This window comes from Homo sapiens, chromosome 3, assembly GCF_000001405.40.
Source record: "Homo sapiens chromosome 3, GRCh38.p14 Primary Assembly".
Taxonomy (NCBI): domain Eukaryota; kingdom Metazoa; phylum Chordata; class Mammalia; order Primates; family Hominidae; genus Homo; species Homo sapiens.
Genome location: NC_000003.12, coordinates 9,058,568 through 9,079,187, shown reverse-complemented (window position 1 = coordinate 9,079,187; position 20,620 = coordinate 9,058,568). Strand labels below are relative to the sequence as shown.

General features: G+C 47.4%; 1 protein-coding gene across 15 annotated transcripts in view, besides 1 other annotated feature; it reads left to right on the top strand.

The window, feature by feature from the left end:
• SRGAP3 (SLIT-ROBO Rho GTPase activating protein 3) overlaps positions 1-20,620 on the top strand; it is a 382,437-nt gene that overhangs the window by 283,840 nt on the left and 77,977 nt on the right. For 14 of the 15 annotated variants that reach the window (XM_024453843.2, XM_047449335.1, XM_047449333.1 and 11 more), the window contains 2 exons: positions 14,607-14,792; positions 18,829-18,957. In XM_024453843.2, the coding sequence (XP_024309611.1) occupies positions 14,607-14,792; positions 18,829-18,957 (315 nt within the window). Of the gene's footprint in view, positions 1-2,502; positions 5,552-14,606; positions 14,793-18,828; positions 18,958-20,620 lie in introns of those variants that run through there. The other variant, XM_011534301.4, reaches the window with a different exon arrangement.
• Positions 1,005-1,505: an enhancer, noted in NCBI's record as "H3K4me1 hESC enhancer chr3:9119367-9119867 (GRCh37/hg19 assembly coordinates)". NCBI's record gives its function as "activates a minimal SCP1, AML or CMV promoter by ChIP-STARR-seq in primed H9 embryonic stem cells {active_cell/tissue: H9 hESC(primed)}" and the evidence as "EXISTENCE:reporter gene assay evidence [ECO:0000049][PMID:30033119]".

Genomic DNA, 20,620 nt, shown 5'->3' with positions numbered 1-20,620 from the left:
ATGAAAAGTGTGTTTGTTTGTGTGTTGGGGAGAATCTGCTGGTAAAATTGTATTTGAAAATCCCTGGTATGAGGGGAAAGAACAGCAGTCTGTGAGAAGCCCCTTCTGTTTGGTTTTATTATCTTTCTGTGTTTATATCCTGTGTGGCCAGCAGGTGGTAAATTCCTCAGAGGCACTGAGAGCCTTTGCGGGAGGGCCTGGACCTCAGGTCAGAAAGCCTGCCTCAGATCCCAACAAGCTACGGAACTCTAGGCAAGGCATTTTTTTTCCTGGGCCTCAGTCTCCCAATCAGTAAAACGGGGCTGAGAGTTCTTAGATAAAAGTTGAAACTTTTAATTCTGTGATTCCAAATTAAGAAGCAAAACTTGAGTTGTGGGTAGTTTTTAGTTGAGTCATTCTTAGGGTAAAGGAAGAATTGCTGCTTGAGAATGCATATTGCTTTGCATCAGCTGGTCACTGGGGGGCAGAACAGCCTGCTGGGTTAAGGCACAGATTTTGAAGCCAGAGATCTGGGTTCAAATCCAGGTGTTAAGTAGAAATACTAGTACCTGCTTAGTGCACGTCCCTGTGAGAATTCGAGGAGATCCTGTATGCAATGGATGCTTAGAACATAGAGAAAAAAAGAGCATTCTGTACCAGAAGTTCTGAGTGTCACTATCATCATCATCACTATCATTGGCTCCTCCTTGATGGGTGTGAGGTAGGCTGTTGTACATACTCACGGTGGGGGGAAGGGTGGTGATAAATAATGCAAGCCTGGTAAACCGAATGGGATTGTCGTGCTCAGAATTCTGCAGCGAGTTTGGCTAGACCAGGTGCTCCCCAGTCTAGGTCCTTTTTATGTTCCTCAGGCTCCACTTTGAATGGATCACTTTCCTCCACAGTGTCAAAACAACTTAGCCCCAATGTCCTGGGACCCCCCCATTCATTCCCACCTAGGTCTCTTACTTTTGCTGTGACCTCCAGCGGGGCTCCTCTTCTTGGTGCCCTCTATTTACACCAAATACCTTCCCCCTCTGCTGCTTTTTCCCTGCAATCCCTGCTGTCTATACCTACCTGTTAGTGTCATGCTCATTTTTCAAACTCAGACCAAACCTCGCCACCTTCAGAATGTTATTACCTCTCGGCTTCAAGTTCCTATGGCAGATGTACCAAAATCTCTTGTATCTTTATTGTCTATATCCCGTCTCCCAACATGTTGGAGTATAAACTCCCTGGGAGTCAGGTCTTGGCTGAGAAACACTGCATGAAAGGCCCAAAGGCTCCATTTGAACCCAGCTGTGTGGCCTTGGGCAAGTCCCTTCACTTGTCAGTTTCACCTGTGACAAACAGGGATGGTCACCTTTCTGTGGTTTGTAGACTGGACAAGGCCAGGTGATGGTCAGAGATCAGGAGGACAGTGGCATCTCTCTGTGTCCTTCAAGGTCCCAGTGCCCAGCACAGTGGCCTGAATCCAGCAGGTGCTCCATGCACACCTCCCTGTGCTGGCTGCAGGGCAGGATGGCTGGACAGAAATGCCGCTGGTATTGGAGACACAGGCCAGGCAGGGTGGCTGAGGCCCCAACAGGACAAGCCATGCCTTGCCATTTCCACAGCAGCCTGGTGAGGGTCACCAGAAGCTAGTGGAGGAAGAAGGGTCCTAGCTCTCTCCTTTGGAAGAGTGGGATCCTCATGGTGCCAGCACACCCCTTGTGAAGATCATTTGTTGACTGCACACTGAGTCTTCAGTAGTTACTCAGAAACTCAGTTAAATTCGATCATTTGTTGCCTGCACACTGAGTCTTTAGTAGTTACTCAGAAACTCAGTTAAATTCAAGCATTTGGGGCCACATGCTGTGGGCCCAGAGCTGCAGTAGGGCACAGTGGGGGATCATGAATATTCAGAGTCTGTCTCTGTCAGAGTCTTGTACATCCTTGGTGCTTCCAGGGTGCTCACTGAAGCAAAGGAGGGAGGAGGGAGGGATGAATACATGAAAGAAACTGGTCTTACTCCTAAGGAGTTTGGAATCTGGGCAGAGAGATAAGAGTAGTGTGTGAACCACTGGGGCTTGTCGGAGGGGGAGGGGGTGGGGGACTGGGGGAGCGATAGCATTACGAGATATACCTAATGTAAATGACGAGTTGATGGGTGCAGCAAACCAACATGGCACATGTATACCTACGTAACAAACCTGCACGTTGTGCATATGTACCCTAGAATTTAAAGTATAATAATAATAATAATATAAAAAGAGTAGTGTGTGAACTGTTGCTACAACACAAGTCAGAGCCTAGTATGTGCTGGACATGTGGGCTCACAGAGGAGGTACCTCTGGGCTTGGCTGTGTAACTCGCCTGTGAGCTCTGTGGGGCTGGACTTTGTTCCCCACAGTGTGCCCAGAGCCCCTGGCCAACCATGCACACACATAGGAGGAGATGGGTGTGTATTAGTTGAGGGAGATGCACATGTGTGAGAGATGGGTTGAGAGGAGGAGGGAGGGAGGGAGGGAGAACAAGAAGGAAAAAGATTCAGAAAAGTGGGCTACTGTGTTCCAGGGTGAGCTTTGAGCTTGGTGCCTTTGGATGGGTAGGAATTAAAGAAGCAGAGGGAATGAGAGGAAGAGAGAAGGAGTTCTCAACAGGGAAGGCAATGCAGGATCACAGCAGTGCACACTGATCACAGACAGATCTGGATTTGAATTCCTGCTGCACCACTTACGAGCTTGGCCAAATCAATTAACCTCGTTGGCTCTCCTCTTTGTTGCCAAACAGGGATGATCCTAACATCTGTAGCCACTTCATGAGTGCTTATGATGCATCTCACTCTGTATTAGGTATTTTATATATATTATTTAATTAACACTCTTACATTTTTACAGATAAAGAAATGGAGGCACAGAGAAGTGACTTATTTAAAGCCTTTGTTTCAGCTATCAGTTGCTGTGTAACAAACTACCTCGAAACTCTGTGACTTAGAACAACCACAATTTTCTGTGCTCGTGATTCTGTGGGTCAGCAATTTGGGCAGGGTTCAACTGGGGCCACTCCTGTGGCTGCAGTTTTCTGGTCAATTAAAAAAAGAAAAAGAGCCCAAAGTGAGCAAATCCCAATGTGCAAGCACTTTTCAAGCTTCTGCTTGTGTCATATTTGCTAATATCCCATTGGCCAAAGCAAGTTACACAGCCAAGCCCAGAGTCCTGGGTTAGAAAAGCAAGGCCCCCTCCCCTTACAGAGTCACAATGCAAAGGGCCATGCCTGCAGCCATGCCAGTAATGATCACAATCCTCTTTGCAAACAGTTCACTCCAGCCACCCAGCTGCTGGCGGCACTATGTGCCCCAAATTCATGCTTCATTGCTAGGGATTTCTTTTGAGCACTTTCTAGTTACCATGCCTGGTTATACAAGTCTACAGTCCCCCTCCTCCCTCAGCCCTAGGGTCATTACCACAGTCACTGAGGAACAAATAATGCAGAGAAAGGATTTTCCAGTAAACTCCACTTTTTTTCTTCTTAAAGTTCTGTAAGGGAGGTGGTGGTGGTCTGTTCCGGGGGTCCTACAGGGTATAATGATGGTGGAGATAAATGCTAAAGGCCACCCATCACTTGCTTTAGAGAAAAGGCTTGTCTCTATCTGGGGCTAGGAAGGATGCAGAGGAGACTGCAAGGCCAGGCATTTTGTTCATTCATTTATTCATTCACTCACTCAATAAGCCTAGTCCTTATCACCCAGTCCTTATCTGCTCAGCCCTTAGCACCTTGAGGCACCCTCCTCTTTAAAACATGCTAGCATGGGTGTTTATGCACATATGTGCGCGCGCACACACACACACACACTTGCATACATGCATGTGCAGTTTGACATGCACCACACACTAGCACATATGCACATTCACGTGCTTGTATGTACATACACATATATGCAAGCGTGCGCACACATATATCCCACTCCACTTCTTTTCCCTCGAACTCCCATCAGCCCAACACAATATAGTTCTTGTTCATGTATTGGCCTGGGAGAAAAAAAGGGCAGAGGTAAAGAACGTGGACCAGTATGGCAATCCTTCTAGAAGAGGCAAATCAAAACAAAACAACTCACAAACTGTAAGCCCCACTGTGTTTTCACTGTTCGGCTAAAAATGTGTTCAGATTTTCAATATATTTCTATATTATGAAATGCATGTGTGTCAGTAACTAGTGAACGTCCAGTGTCCCCCCACCTGTCTCTTCCTCTGTGTTCAGCAGCTCTGCTCCAAACTGTGGGCTGGCCTTCCAAGCCCAGGGCTGCAGGAGAGGCCCAGTGACTTTGTTCTTTGCCATGTGGGGAGGGCCTGAGGAGTGTCCATTCATACCCAGTAGCAGCTGGTCACAGGTAGACCCTAACTGGAGCCATGAATCACTCTACCTTTGACTTGTTCAAGCCTTGATTGATTGTGTATGGGCTCAGGGATGTGACATCAACTCTGGGCCAACAGGCAAATCTTGGCAAAGGTGTCTCCCTCCTCATGACTTCCCTCAGAGATGGGGATGGTGGAGAGAGCTGAGACTGGGAGCCCAGGAGCCTGAGTTCTGGTCCCAGCTCCACCCTGGGCTCACTGCGTGTCTTTCTAGGATGACATTCAGGTACAGCCCCACAGCTTCATCCTATCTTTGGGCCCTCTGTCATTTACTGAATATTTTTCTTTAAGTTGACCTCCCCTCCCTTTTTAAGTTCCCCCAGTGTTAGTTAATTAGTGGAAAGCAGCCCTGCGTGCTGGAAGAGCACAGGTTTTAGAGTCAGCTGGACCTAACTTGAAGGCCCTGCCACACAAACTCCCTGAGCCCAGTCCCTCCCTGGAACATGGGGCTGCTGCCAGTTCATTTGTCTGGATTATTCTGGGGAGAGTGATTGTCATAGAGTATAGCCCAGTGCCTAGCAAACCTGAGTCCTGAGTCATTGTGTCTTTTATGAAAGAATGAGGCATAAATATTTTTCCTACATAGTTTGGAATCTTTCTTCTCCATTCCCCATCTCCACTGGGCCAGCCAGAGCCCTAAGAATGTTTCGCTGGAAAACGTGCAGCCACCTCCTCCTTCGTTTCCCATTCTCCGGGCCTGCTCTCTGTGATGCTGGCTCCATACTTGAGCTGGATGACTTTCCTTTAAAAAAATTGTTTAATATTTAAATTTAGAAATAGAAGATACATACACTTGGTTAAAAAAATAAGACAGTAATTAAACAATAAAAGAAGGTACCCAGGAAGAAGCATGTCTCCTGACTCTTTCTCCATCCCCGTATAATCTCAGTTACTAGGTTATTAGTGTCCAGTTAGCCATGTCTCCTTCCAGAGACCTTTTAGCCATCAATCAGCACACACGTTTGGGCATATCCCACACATTCCTGTTTTATGCAAGTGGTGACAACTGTACTTACTATTCTGCATCTTGCTTTGCGTTCATAGGTATATTTTGGAGATTGTTTCATCTCAAGAATAACTAGAGCCTCCAATCATGTACAGTGCTTGTTGAAGGCCAGGGGCTGGTCTAAATGCTTTACATGTACCGATCCATTTCATCCTCATCGTAACCCTTTGAGGTAGGTGGCATTATGACCACGCCCGTCTTAGGGATGAGAAATCTGAGGCACAGAGAGCCCAGGTGGCCAGCTCAGGGTTGCCCAGAGGGGAAACAGCAGAACCTGCTCCAGACTCCGAGTGCTTAAGCGCTCCCCTACACTAGTGATATAAATACATTAAACTATTTATATGACTATATAGAAACTACTTATCTGGGCTGGGCTTGGCTCACGCCTGTAATCCCGGCACTTTGGGAGGCCAAGTCAGGCAGATCGCTTGAGCCTAGGAGTTCAAGACCAGCCTGGGCAACGTGGCAAAACCCTCTCTCTACAAAAAATACAAAAAATTAGCAAGGCATGTTAGCGGGTACCTATAGTCGCAGCTACCCGGGAGGTTGAGGTGGGAGGATTACCTGAGCTTGGGAGGTGAAGACTGCAGTGAGCTGTGATTGCACCACTGCACTCCAGCCTGGGGGACAGAGTAAGACCCCGTCTTAAAAAGAATTAAAATTTAAAGTTAAAAAATAAACTACGAACCTGCATTTATTGTGGAAGGAAATGATACTTCACATTAGCAGATGAAACACAGTTTGGTATAAATAGAAGCGTTCTGTTAGTTAAGTGAAAATCAAGCAGTGTTGTATATTCAAGCTTGTGCCTGCCAGAGCAGCAGGCGAGAAGCTTTGAAGATGTGTGGGCACGACTGTTTTTTCCTCCTGATGTAATCAAAGGATCCTCAGAGAGCTGAAAGGGGTGAAGAACAGTACAGTAAACAATGCAAGAAGATACACAGAGAGAAGCATATCTCCTGACTCTTCCTCCAGCCCTATGTCACCTCGGTTGCTGTGTTACTAGTGTCCAGTTTGGCAGTGTTTCCTTCCCATGACACCGAAAGTCACCTTGCTAACACAAGTGGCAACACTGACCCAGTGCCAGATAGTGGGGCTCTGACACTCGGTTTCCCCCGTCTGTGGGATGAAGGTGTGGAGTTTGAGGAATACTGAGGCTCCTGCCGGGCATTGATCTTCATGCCACTGTGCCCTGGAAGGGAGACCAGGGTCCTGGCTCAGACTTAGGGCAGGGCAGCTCTGCGGGGCTGTCACAGCCTGCCAGCCAGGGTGTGTGCACAGTGTCATCCAGGGACGGAACTGGTCCTAAGCAGAATGGAAGAGGTTTCCCTCTAGGTAACCTTCCCTTCTCTTTCTGCTGTCCTGCCCAGACACCCATTCACTAAGAATACATGTATTGATCATCAGCATATCCAGACCACGAGATGTGGCTGCACACTATGACAGGTGCCTTAGTGGGGATATGACAGTGTGTGGGAACATGGAAGAGGGGGTGATGAAATCTACTGAGTATCAGGAAGGTGCCAGAGAAGAGATGGTATCTGATCGACAGTGGACAGTTCCTGGGTGCAGAGAGGGGCAGAAGGAGCAGCACTTAGCGCGGTGGGAAGCAGCACCCGGGATGCTGGAGGGAGCCTCCGCCCAGTCAGCACTGCTCCTGAGTCACTGCACTGAGCCTGGCCGGTTGGGATCAGGACTGATATGGGTAGTTGGGGAGGCTGAAAGGGAAGGAAGTCTGCCTTTTGCAATTTGTTTAGTGGCAAGGGACTGGAATCTGGTGCAAACTGGCTTAGATAAAAATGACACTCTGTTGAATCACATGAACATGTAGCTCAGGTCTAACTGGATCCAGGGGCTCACACACTGATTTGTCTGTCTCACCAGTACGGCGTGTACTCTGTGAGGCCAGAGACCCCAACTGTCTTCTATACTGTATTTTGACTGTAGTGCATTTGGTATAGTACCTGACACATAAATAAATATTTGATAATTGAAGGTGTAGCTGTTCTCCCCGCCAATATACTCACTAGATCAGAGGCAGTAGAACTATGCCTCCCCCATTTTACCCTTTTCCCTCCTTCCTTCTCTTCCTACCTTCCTTCCCCACTCTTTCCAATCCATCCATCCATCCATCCATCCATCCATCCATCCATCCATCCATCCATCCACCTTTGAGAATCAGTCTCTCTCCCACTTCTGGTTTGTTTTCCTCTGTGTGGACTTCATGATCTGGCAGGCTTCTCCCATGTGGTGACAAAAATGGTCCCTAGCACTGCAAATTCTCCTCCCATTAGCCTCTCCCCACCCTCCAGTGGAAAGAAAACACTCCCTTCCCAGTGTTTCCAGTGAAGCCCTAGGGTAGCATCTAATTGGCCTAGCTGAGCTTCCTATGGCCAGATGAACATAAGTTTACGGATTGGCCAGGCCAGGGTCTCATGCCCACCCCAGGATTGTGGGGTGATGTCAAACTCCCATGAACCACGTGTACTGAGAATAGTGGAGGGGAATTTGGGGGATTTCCTCAAAATAAAATTAGGGGGCTATTCCCAAAGAAAGAAGACTGGATGAGTCTGGGCAGAGAAAAACAACAGGTGTCCACTGAGGAGGAGTCCCTTGGGGAGAATGAGGAAGTGGTTCCATTGGCTGGTGCTCCTGATGTTCATACCTGACATACCTGATGTTCTTCCACCTTTCAGCTGCTCCCCAGTCCTGTTTGCCTCCTGCTCCCCTGGGCTAATGCTCACTCTGCTCCCTTTGTCTGGGACACTCCACCCCCATCCCAAGCCCTGCTCACCCAGCTAACAGCTACTCTTCCTGCAGTGTTCAGTTTAGATGTCACTTCCTCCGGGAAGCCTTCCTATGGTGCCTAGTACGTCCTTCATCATTGTACTTATCCCACCATGTGATCATCACTTGTGTAATTGCCTGTATCTCTACTACAGTTTGGATCCTATGAGGGCGGCGACCTGCATGTCTTCCACACTGTAGTATTGCCTAGCATAGTACCTGGCACATAATGAACTGCTCAATAAATATTTAATGATTGATGGTACAGCAATCTCCCTACTTCCAAGTATGCTCAGCAGAACACAGGCAATAGAACTGTACCTCCCTCATTTTACCCTCTCTCCCTGCCTTCTTCTCTTCCTTTCTCCCATCTATCTACCCATCCCTGCATTTATCCACCCACCCACCCATCTGTTCATCTGTCCATCCATCCATCTACCCATCCATTCAGCCATATTCACTGATCCACTGATCTTTTGATCTGTTGATCCAGCCAGCCCAGCCAGTCATTCATTCATGCAAATATGTGTTGATACTTGCTGGGTACCAGGCTCTGCTCTGGTACAGAGAATACTATCACGAACAAGACCCTGGCCTCAGGACTTTGCTTCTCTTTTCCTTCAAGGAGGTCTCAGTCATGCACTGGCCTAGGGTTTCACCCATACACAAATGCTGGAAGCAGTGAGCCACTGTGCCCAGGGACAGCCCTGTCTGCAGGGTGGAGGAAGCACACAGGGACTGCATCATTGAGAAGCTGTTTTCTAACAACTGATCCTTATCCTGCTTCAGGTGTCCCTTTATGGATGCTGTCAACTTCCAGATTCTGTTTGCCTTCTTTTGCATTTAAATGAGGGGCTGAAAGATGGTACAGATAACACTTTGCTGTTTTCAGAATCTGAGGATCAGGGAAGAGGCAAAAGGCAATGTGTGCAAAGCAAAAGGCAGTGTGATGACCAGAAGAGGCAATGCTTAGCGGTAAACAGACCTGGCCTGCAGTCCCAGCTCTGCCTGGCTTTTTGTGTGACATTGGACAGCACTCTTGCTATTTCTTTTCTTTCTTTCTTTCTTTTTTTTTGAGATGGAGTCTCGCTCTGTCGCCCAGGCTGGAGTGCAGTGGCACAATCTCGGCTCACTGCAACCTCTGCCTCCTGGGTTCAAGCTATTCTCCTGCCTCAGCCTCCTGAGTAGCTAGGAGTACAGGGGCCCACCACCACGCCTGGCTGATTTTTGTATTTTTAGTAGAGACAGGGTTTCACTATGTTGGCCAGGCTGGTCTCAAACTCCTGATCTTGTGATCTGCCCGCCTTGGCCTCCCAAAGGGCTGGGATTACAGGCATGAGCCACCGCGCCCAGCCCGCTCTTGCTACTTTTGAGCCTCCATCTCCTCAAGTGAGGGGCTAGGACACCAAGATTTATGGAGGACCTTTTATTCTGAGAACACATGCAACTGAACTTGGTCCAAGAACAGTGGTCTTAACTGACACATCCCTACGAAGTCCTTCCCTAGACTCCCTGAATAGAGTCTGGAGGGCTGGAAAGTGAATCCCTTCCCTGGCATCAAGTGGATGGGTACCTCTGAGGGGCCCTTCAGACATCCCCAGTTCAGGAACTTGGCCTCAGCTGAGCTCCTGCATCCACCTCTGCCCCTTCCCAGCCCTGGGCACACTGCTGCTGGCAGTTGGTCACTTGATAATTTGCAGTTGACAGCACTTTCCCCATCTACCCCCTTCTGATCTTCACCAGGCGGACACGGAGAGGACACACCTCTCCACAGCTACCCAGCAAGTAGTGGGAGGGCTGAGTCTCAAAACCAAGTCTCCCGAATTCCAGTGGGCTGGAGGAGCCTTTCACCCCTGTTTTACAGTTGAGAAAGGGGTACAAGGAAAGCAAAACAACCATGTGTTCAGTAGGCCCAGGCTCTGGGGTCAGCCACCTTGGCTTTGAACCCTGACTCCACTTACCAGCTTTTCACCTAGAGAAACTTACTGACCTATTCTGGGCCATGGTTTTCTCATCTGTAAAGCAGGGATCATAGGATGCCTATCTCATAGGGTTTTTTTGAGAAATAAATGAGTTAATATAGGTAAAGTGCATAAAGCAAGGCCTGGCAAGTAGTAAGTGCTCAATAGATGCTAGCTGCTATCATTGTTGTTACTGTCATCACACTACCTCCCAGGATTAGGGAAAGGACTCATTGAAATGCTCCTTTACTAGAAGGGCTCCTGGAAGGAGGTTTGCAAACTTTGAAGCAATAGATAAGGTTAAATATTATTTAATGCATCCTGGACTAGCAATATTGAGCTAACTGTTCTAGTCTATTGAGCTAAGGACCATTCATGCTGAAGCCCATGTATCAGGTAATTAAATAAAAGAAACATCTAGAGGATTCTGGGTACAAATAGAGTCATTTTGGAGAAACTTCCAGGTGAACTCTTTGGTGGCAGCTGTCTGTCATAAGTCACCCTCGGCAGTGGAGTTCACTGTTATTCTTGGAATCAGGAATCGAGTAGATCACAGGGAGTTTGGCCCCAGGGTACTTGGGTTGTCTTCTCCAAGCATGGGATTTTTGGAATGAAGTTTAGAGGCTGTCTGGGAAGTTTGGCCTGTCGGAGGGCAGGAAGAGTACTCTGTGGCTCAAGAAGAGTAGAAAATGATGTAAAGGGAGAGAAAATAAAAAAAGAAAACTAGGCAAAGGATATGTGGGAATTGAGAACACCCAGCTGGGCTGTTGACCTTGAGAGAGTGGATGGATGCATGGTGATTGGACAGGAAGATCTAGCTGTAAATAGAAAGGCTCTCTTTTCCCCTGAACTACCCAGCACAGATGACAGATTCGTGGCGAGGCAAGCAGACTCAGAAGCCAAAATAGAAAAAGGAGATGTAGCAGGAATCATTGAACGCAGACGGGGATGGGATCCAGACATGAAAAACACCAGCAATATGGTGGTGAGGCAAAGAACCCAGGGTTGTCTGTGGATGTGGAGGGACATGTCGAGAAGGGGGAAGGTGGGGTCCTGGAGACAGCCGCAGCAGGCGTTCTCACACTTTAGCCACACCTATTTTATTTTATTTCTTCTTTACATTCCATCCATTTTTGCTCATTTGTAATCTCCCTAAAACTCCTAGAAACCCCCTTCTTGCTGATTTCATCCTCTCTGTATGCCAGTTCCACCAAGACCATATCCAAATAACTCAATGGACTCATTTATTTTATTTTTATTTTAAGTTCCAGGATACATGTGCAGGACACGCAGGTTTGTTACATAGGTAAACGTGTGCCATCGTGGTTTGCTGCACCTATAGGCCCATCACCTAGGCATTAAGCCCCACATGCGTTAGCTATTTATCCTGATGCTCTCCCTCCCGCCGCCTCCCCTGACAGGCCCCAGTGTCCTTTTAACCAAGGCATGAAGATCATCAAAATAGGCGCCTGCTTTGATTATCTGCAAGTCTGCAGTCACCCCTTTTGGCCACTAGATGTCGAGAACGCATCAATATGGCACATATTCTGGTCCATTGAGTTATTTGGATGTGATCTTGGTGGAACTGGCATACACAGAGGATGAAATCAGCAAGAAGGGGGTTTTTTGGAGTCTTAGGGAGATCGCAAATGAGCAAAAATGGACGGAACGCAGAGAAGCCGTCTTTCCACCAAGACCCATGAAGAAAAGTTGACTGCATTTTAAATCCATGTATTGTTTTCCAAGTTTGGGGGATTTTTAGGATGAAGGAAGAAGGGAGAAACATGGCATAAAAATATATTTTTTTTCACATTAGTTAATGTTCTCCAGAGCTTGTAAGCATTTCCAAGTGAGCATGTTTCAGGTTCTTAAACCCTGAGCCCAAATCAGGGATAATAATGATGATGATGGTGGTGGTGGTGGTGGTAGCATCTGATAGATACCTCCATGGCTCTTACTATGTGGAAGGTATTGTTCTCAGCACTTTACAGAAATTAACTCATTTAGTGCTCATAACAAGCATAGGAAGTAAATTTTTATCCCATTTTTACAGACGAGGAAGCAGAGGTCAGAGAGGTTGTGTGACTTGTCCAAGGTCACACAGCTAAGGAGTGGGACCATCAGGATTCAGCCCAGACACTTGTCCATATTCTTACCTTCCATGATCTACAATATATGTTGCCACATTGACTCCTGGCCAGTGGCAAAGGCAACTTTCTGAACAATGAATCAATGCTGTGATTTAATGATAAAAGTCACAGAGCCTGGGCGTGGTGGCTCACGCCTGTAATCTTAACACTTTGGGAGGTCAAGGCGGGAGGATCACCTGAGGTCAGGAGATCAAGACCAGATTGACCAACACGGTGAAACCCCATCTCTACTAAAATATAAACATTAGCCGGGCATTGTGGCGGGTGCCTGTAATCTCAGCTACTCAGGAGGCTGAGGCAGGAGAATCACTTGAACCCAGGAGGTGGAGGTTGCAGTGAGCCAAGATCATGCTACTGCACTCCAGCCTGGGCAACAAGAGTGAAACTCTGTCTCAAAAAGAAAAAATAAAGTCACAGAATTCCTCATTCTAATAAACGCACTTCACAGCACTTCAAATGACAAGGAATAAGATTTTAGGGTTGGCCAGGAATTCATTCTGAGTTCTCTGACTTACAGGGCTTGGTTAGATAGGAGCACGTTTCATTCCTGGGGGAAGCCTTGGCTCTGTTAGCTGTTACAGTAATCCAAGCCACAGAAGAGAATGAACAAGGCCCAGGAGCCATGGATTCCAGAAGTTTCTTTGTTTCTTAGCATAGAAAGATGATCATACACTTGGCATTGCAGAAGAAAAGTACATTTCTGGTTGGGGACCAGTAAAAATGCTGTTGGTATGGAGCAGCCCAGCCAGTGTTCAGGCTACTAAAAGTATGCCTGCTCAGAAAATGGTAATGAATTAAAAAAATTCATTAAGGGCTGGGTGTGGTGGTTCACACCTATAATACCAGCACTTTGGGAGGCTGAGGCAGGAGGATCACTTGAGCCCAGGAGTTTGAGACGAGCTTGGACAACATGGCAAAACCCCGTCTCTATTTATGAAAAAATGATACAGACAATCTAGGATGATCTGGTAGAAAAAGTGGTGGATTAAAAGTGAGAGGCCAGATTTCCAATATGATTAAATATATATTTACCATATGACCCTCCATCCCACGCCTGGGTATTTACCTAAGAAAAATCAAAATACATGTCCACACAAAGAAATGTACATAAGTATTCATAGCAGCCTTATTCAAAAATAGCTAAAAACTATAAACATCTCAAGTAGCTGTGGACATATGACTAAGTAAACAGATTGTGGCATAGCCATACAATGGAATACTTAGCCATAAAAAAGAAGTTCTGATATGTACGGCACCATCAGTGAATCTCAGAAAAGTTATGCTGAATGAAAAGAGGGCTGATCCAAAGGAGTTTATATTGTATGATTCCATGGAACTGGATTCTAGAACACACAAAACCAATCTACAGTGACAGAAGGCAAATCTATGATTGGGGCTGGGGTGGGGTCAGGGATTGGCTGCAAAGGGCCATGAGGGATCTTTCTGGTGCAGTGGAAGTTCTATATTTTGCTTGTGGTCCTGGATACATGGATGTAAAGTCTGGCATCTCTGCACTGATACTTTGCACCTCCGAGCCTCAGTTTCCCTGTTTGTCAAACTAGAAGGTTGTTGGATTAGATGATGTCTAGAATTTCTTCTGGCTCAGAAATTTCCCCTGTAATAACAATATCCATTTTTTTTATTATGGAAGTAGAGTAGCAAAGTGCAATTTGCTTTATAGGAATTGTTTTTATAGGCAAGGATGAATTTATTCCAGAGAGCATAGAATATCTATTGGGTTACTTAATATTACTCATTTTGGGTACAGAGCCATTTGCAGCCCATTGTACTTCAGGAAACAGCTGAGAAAATGATTTGTGTGTAAGAAGGATGTTTCCCATTCAATTCCCATGGGTGTGGGAGGAGGGGCTTTCCCCGCGGCACTGGGAGGAGACGGAGGGATGCCACAGTCACTACTGGCAGGGCTAGAGAGGACAGCTGAGCAAGGGCCAGGCTTGCCTTGTCACGTCTGACAGTCCCCAGATGCTTGGAGCTACGGTTACCCTTTTAAATTTCCTCCTTATTTATTTATTTATTTATTTATTTATTATTATTTTTTAATTTCCTCTTTACTAGCCCATGCCTGGCTCTTAGTTAGGGCTTAATGATGTTGTTGTTGATGATGATGGTGATGGTAATGACCATCATCATCATATCCAGTCCTCAGAGAGTCTGTGCAAAAGTAAAGGAAGGCAGGTGCCCAGAGTGTGTTTTGGGACCAGGGCAGTGGCCAGCTAGAGTGTAGAACTTGGTATGGAGCCAGGAGTAACAGGGAGGGCCGTGCTGGGCCATAGCTGGCTGCTGATTTCCCCTACTTGTGCACCCCCAGGTCATGAAAACCTACCACATGTACCATGCAGAGAGCATCAGTGCGGAAAGCAAGCTGAAGGAGGCTGAGAAGCAGGAGGAGAAGCAGTTCAATAAGTCAGGAGACCTCAGCATGAACCTGCTCCGGCACGAGGACCGGCCCCAGCGCCGCAGCTCTGTGAAGAAGATTGAGAAGATGAAGGAGAAGGTGAGTGGGGGCCCTGGGCTGGGAGCGATTGGGGACAGGGCACAAAGGGGAGGGCCATGGTCTTGGCGGACAGCCTTAGCCTTCCCCCTTATTCCCCTGCATCCCAGTGGGGTGGTGGTGGGTAGGGGGGATGGGACAATGTAGCCAGCATCTCCTCTTTTGGAGATCGGTGTCCTAGTGGAAGCGGAGCCAGGCATGCCCGTGCTAACACTGGTTAGGCCTGGCTTAGTGCTAAGGTCAGCAGGCAGACGAGGTGCTCAACTCACAAGAAAGCTGAACTGTGACGAGATTCACACCCAGCAAGCACCTTCTCAGATGAGCTGGAATCACAAGGCATTAGCGGGAGCAGGGGCTTGTTCCAGAGGCCAATTTGATGGCCAAGGGTAGGGGCGGGGGGTGAGGTGGGAACTGATTGCTGAATGTGTCTCAACAAGAGGGACCAGCACCTGGAAAGCTGGTGAAGGGCTCATTCCAAAATTGCCATTGCCAATTCAAAGATGAGAGAGTTAGAATCCCTGTGTATTGATTCTGGAAAAGTCCTTTAGTAGGGTGTGGTGGGAGGAATTCTAGCTTTGGAGTCAAATGAGCTGGGTTTTGAAAATGCCACGTTTACAACACCTCTCTGAGCTGCAGTTTTCAAATCTGATAGGAGTGGCAAATTCGTCTCATCTCTCATGTCAACTCTGATCAATTGCCCAGAGCACTGGGCTGAGAATTGTGAAACTCGAAACAGATTTAGTTAAAAACAGTGCTGTAGGGCTGGCCACAGTGGCTCATGCCTGTAATATCAGCACTTTGGGAGGCCAAGGCGGGAGGATCGTTTGAGCCCAGGAGTTCGAGACCAGCCTGGGTAAAATGGCAAAATTCCATCTCTATTTATGAAAAAAAAAAGGCAAAGAATTTGAATAGATGTTGCTCTTAAAAAAACATGTATGAGTGGCCAATAAGTACATGAAAAGATTGTCTGGGCCAGGCATGGTGGTTCACACCTGTAATCCTAACACTTTGGGAGGCCAAGGTGGTCAGATAGTTTGAGCCCAGGAGTTCGAGACCAGGTTGGGCAACATGGCAGAACCCTATCTCTACAAAAAATAGAAAAATTAGGCAGGTGTGGTGGCATGTGCCTGTAGTCCCAGCCACTTGGGAGGCTGAGGTAGGAGGATTACCTGAGGGAGGTCAAGGCTGCAGTGAGCCATGATCACATCACTGCACTCCAGCCTGGGCAACAGAGTAAGACCCTGTCTCAAAAAAAAAAAAAAAAAAAAAAAAAAGATTGTCTCTATTATTAGTGATTAAAGAAATGCAAATCAAACTCAGTGAACTATCACTTCATACCCACAGGGATAGCTAGAATTAAAAAGGCAGACTATAGGAAGTATTGGTGAGAATGTGGATAAATTGGAATCTTCACACACTACTAAAGGGAATGTACAGTGATTCTATCACTTTGGAAAGCAGTCTAAATGTTAAACATAGACTAAGTTACCATGTGACTCAACAATTTTATTCCTAGGTATCCACCCAAGAAAAATAAAAACATATGTCCATTCAAAGACTTGTACATGAATAGCAGCATTATTCTTAATAGCCAAAAGATGGAAATGACTCAGATGTTCATCTGCTGATGGATGGTTGAATAAAATGTGGTATATCCATGTGATGGAATATTATTCAGCCATGAAAAGGAATGAAGTACTGACAAATGCTGCAACATGGATGAACCTTGAAAACAGTATGCTAAATGAAAGAAGTCAGTCACGGAAGACCACATATTGTGCAACTACATTTATGAAATGTCCAGCATAGACAAATCTATGGAAATAGAAAATAGATGATTGGTTTCCAGGGGCTAAAGAAGAGGAAAATGGGGAGTGACTGTGAATGGGTGCAGCATTTCTTTCTGGGGTGATGAAAATATTCTAAAGTTAGATAATGATGATGGTTGTGTGACTCTGTGAATACAGTAAAAATAAATAAAAATAAAATAAAATAACCAAGCAGGGAATGATAGGACTACAACATAGGGAGAAGGAGAGAGGTAGAGTGAGTGCTGACTGGAAGTCCAGAGGCCGATTTTTAGTTCAGAGTTGTATTTTTGGTTCGATTAGCTACTTGGCTCTTGGGCAAGCCACTTCTCTCCAGTTCTCATTTCCTCATCTATAAAATAGATGAGTTTAATGAAAATACCTTTAACATCCTTTCTAGGTATAACATTTTATGAGTCTATGAAGGGCTAAAAAATGGTCTCAGGGTCATGGTCATAGTTGTCCACTGGAAATAGGCCAAGAATATCAAAACTCTCTGTGGGGGGTCAGGTGCATGGCTGGCGTAGGATGTAACTGCCAGGACCCTGGGGAAAAGTTAGAGATCTCTGAAGAGAATTAAAAGGATGAGAACTCACTGTGGAATAGGAAGGTGTAAGAATGTCTAGGCAAAGGAGAAAAACCATTTATTTACAGAGACCTGACTTTTTACACAGCAATGGGACTCATCAGTCTGAAAGGAGCAGGGGACAGCTCTCCAGCCCACTTCCTCTTTCCTGCTCCATTCCCAGGCTGGCTTAGCCAGGAGCAGCTCCCTGGGGGGCAATTGGGTCCCTGCTGAGATGGGCGGCTCTGGCTGCCCCACCCCACCTCTCCCATCCAGTCATCCTCCCTCCCTCCTGTCCTCCAGTCACTGAAAATGACTGAAAATGACCTTGTGCAGGGACAGTTCTGGGCGCTCCAGACCTAGCAATGAACAAAGCAGATCAAGTCCCTAACCCCACTTATTTTCTAATGGGAGATCACTGACAATCAACAAGTAAATAAAAGGGTAGAAAAAAATACAGTTTCAGGTGGTGGAAGTGCTTATTAAGAAAAGAGCCGGGCAGGGGTGGGCAGAGGGAGTGGGAGAGGTAGATGAGCTTGTCATCGAAAGCCAATCTGGCCTTGAGACCTTGGGCCAAGGCTGAGGGAACCATGAGTTTGAGGGCCTTGAGACAGGAATGAATTTTGCCTCTTAAAGGATGGACCAAGGAGGCTGAGCAAATGAGGGGGAGCCTGGGGGAAGGTGGAGCTTGAGAAGTGGATGGGACAAGGCCATGGAGGGCTTCTCAGGTGCGAGCAGCAGTTTGAGACATCACTGGAGGGTGCTGGGTAGGGGTCTTATTGATTGATTGATTGAGACGGAGTCTCCCTCTGTCACCTAGACCTGGAGTGCAGTGGTGCAATCTCTGCTTACTGCAACCTCTGCCTCCTGGGTTCAAATGATTCTCCCATCTCAGCCTTCCAAGTAGCTGGGACTATAGGTGCATGCCACCACACCCAGCTAATTTTTGTATTTTTAGTAGAGATGGGGTTTTGCCCTGTTGGCCAGGCTGGTCTTGCTCTCCTAACCTCAGGTGATATGCCTGCCTCAGCCTCCCAAAGTGTTGGGATTACAGGCCAACGCTCCTGGCCAGGGATCTTATTTACACCCCACCCTAGCAAGGACCGTCAGAGGCTGCTGCTCATCTAGTGTCCTCATCGGCTGTGCAGGTGCAAGGTGCAGGTGTAAGGGGAGCTGCCTGAGTCCAGGTCCAGCCCTTACTCATCTAGCAGATGGAGGTCTTCCATAGGTGTGGCTGTGCAGGGCTTGGGTGGCAGGCAGCTACTATAAAGAAAAAAAAAACCACTGGGCCGGGCATGGTGGCTCACGCCTATAATCCCAACACTTGGGAGGCTAAGGTGGGAGGATGGCTTGAGGCCAGGAGTTCCAGATCAGCCTGGGCAACATAGTGAGACCCCACCATCTCTAAAAAACTTGAAAAACAAAAACAAAAACTAGCCAGGTGTGATGGCATGCATCTATAGTCCCAGCTACTCGGGAGGCTGAGGTGGGAGGATTGCTTGAGTCCAGGAGTTAAGGCTGAAGTGAGCTATGATCACACCACTGCACTCTCACCTGGGTGACAGAGCAACACCCTGTCTCAAAAAAAAAAAAAAAAGGAATAGAAAATCACAAACCCCGTCCTCTTAAATGGCTTGCTCTTACATCTACTCTTTTCTTCTTCCAGAGGCAGGCCAAGTACTCTGAGAACAAGCTGAAATGCACAAAGGCCCGGAATGACTACTTGCTCAATCTGGCAGCCACCAACGCAGCTATAAGCAAATACTACATCCATGATGTCTCTGATCTGATCGATGTGAGCTCCCTGGGGAGTCTGGGACTGAGCAGGGCCCACACCAGGGCTGGCACATGTCACTGGCTGAAGGAGGGGCTGGTCTTTGTCTTTACCTGACATTCTCGGGTAGCCACAGCTCTTTTGAGCCCTGCTGGAGGGGAAGGGCAGTGATTTGGGGAGGTGGAAAATGAATGTTACCTCGTGGTGTCTATTTTCACGAGTGGGACATGGGCCTCTGGTGGCCCCAGTGCAGTTGGCTTGGGCAGTTGTATATCCAATGGCAACTTCCCAAGTACCCTCCTGGACACCAGGTCCTTTGCTGGGTTTGAGGGGTTCAGGGGGGAACCATACACAGTTCATGCCTTGGGGGATTTCCCAGTGTGGTAAAGGAGATGTTATTAGTAAAATGTTTGGCGCCCCTAGGGCCACTCAGCCAGACACGTGTACATGCGAAAGAAAGTAGCGAATGAGACAGACTTAATTATACAGATCAGCTTTGTGTGGGGAAGTTATCTCGGGAGAAATCGGGCAGCTTAAGCAAATGGAGAACGGAACACTGACTCCCGAGTACCCGCTGTGCAGGACACGCCACAGGGACAAGCAGACTGGGAGAAAGAACACTGTGAGCGGTGGTGCTGGGGAGGGCTTCTGTGTCATCTAAGTAGGAGCCAGGACTGTTTCTCTCATGTCCTCCTTCCTGCACCGATGGGGGAGCTGGCCCTGTCCATGTTTAGTAAAGGCTTGGTATGGTCGATGGACTCTTTTCCTGGTGTATCCTGTCGGGAAGTCAGGGGGCTCCTGCTTTTCCCGTGGCTCCAGAGGGGGCCCCATTGTCAGCATCGCAAGGAGAGGGAGCTCCCAAATGGCCCAAGGCCAGACCTTCCTCTTTCCTGCTTTTCGCTTTCTTTTTTTGCCCTTTCAGCCCCTTTATTCATTCATTTACCATATATTAATTGAGCACCTGCTGTTGTCTGGAACTTGAGGAGCAGGAGCAGTGGGTTGGCCCTCGGGGAGCTTACCTCGCCAAGGACATGTTGATAGGTGATTTTAATACTAAGTGGCAGGGGTCACAGTGAGAGAGGTAGAGGGAAATGTGGACCCCTGGAGGAGGATCACCTGACCAGCTCTGAGTGGGGAGAACATCAAGGAAGCTTTCCTGGAGGAAGTGACCTCTAAACTGAATTCCGAAAGAAGGGTATTCCAGGCAGAGGGGATGCATGCACACCACCCTAAAGAAGAGAAAGATGGGCTCACGCTTGTAATCTGAGCACTTTGGGAGGCCGAGGCGGGTAGATCACAATGTCACGAGTTCGAGACCAGTCTGGCCAACACAGTAAATCCCTGTCTCTGTTAAAAATACAAAAATTAGCTGGGCTTGGTGGTGGGCACCTGTAATCTCAGCTACTCGGGAGGCTGAGGCAGGAGAATCGATTGAACCCGGGAGGCGGAGGTAGCAGTGAGCCGAGATCGTGCCACTGCACTCCAGCCTAAGTGACAGAGCTAGACTCCGTCTCAAAAAAAAAAAAAAAAAAAAAAAGAGAGAGAGAAAGATGGTGAATATAGGGAACCTAGTTCTGCTATTGCCCAAATCTCAACCGCAACTCCCCTTGAGGGGCGCCGTGAGGTTTGTGCAGTAGGATTCCAAAGTGCCTTGGGGCCTCCGGGATGGAAGATTCGGCTGTGG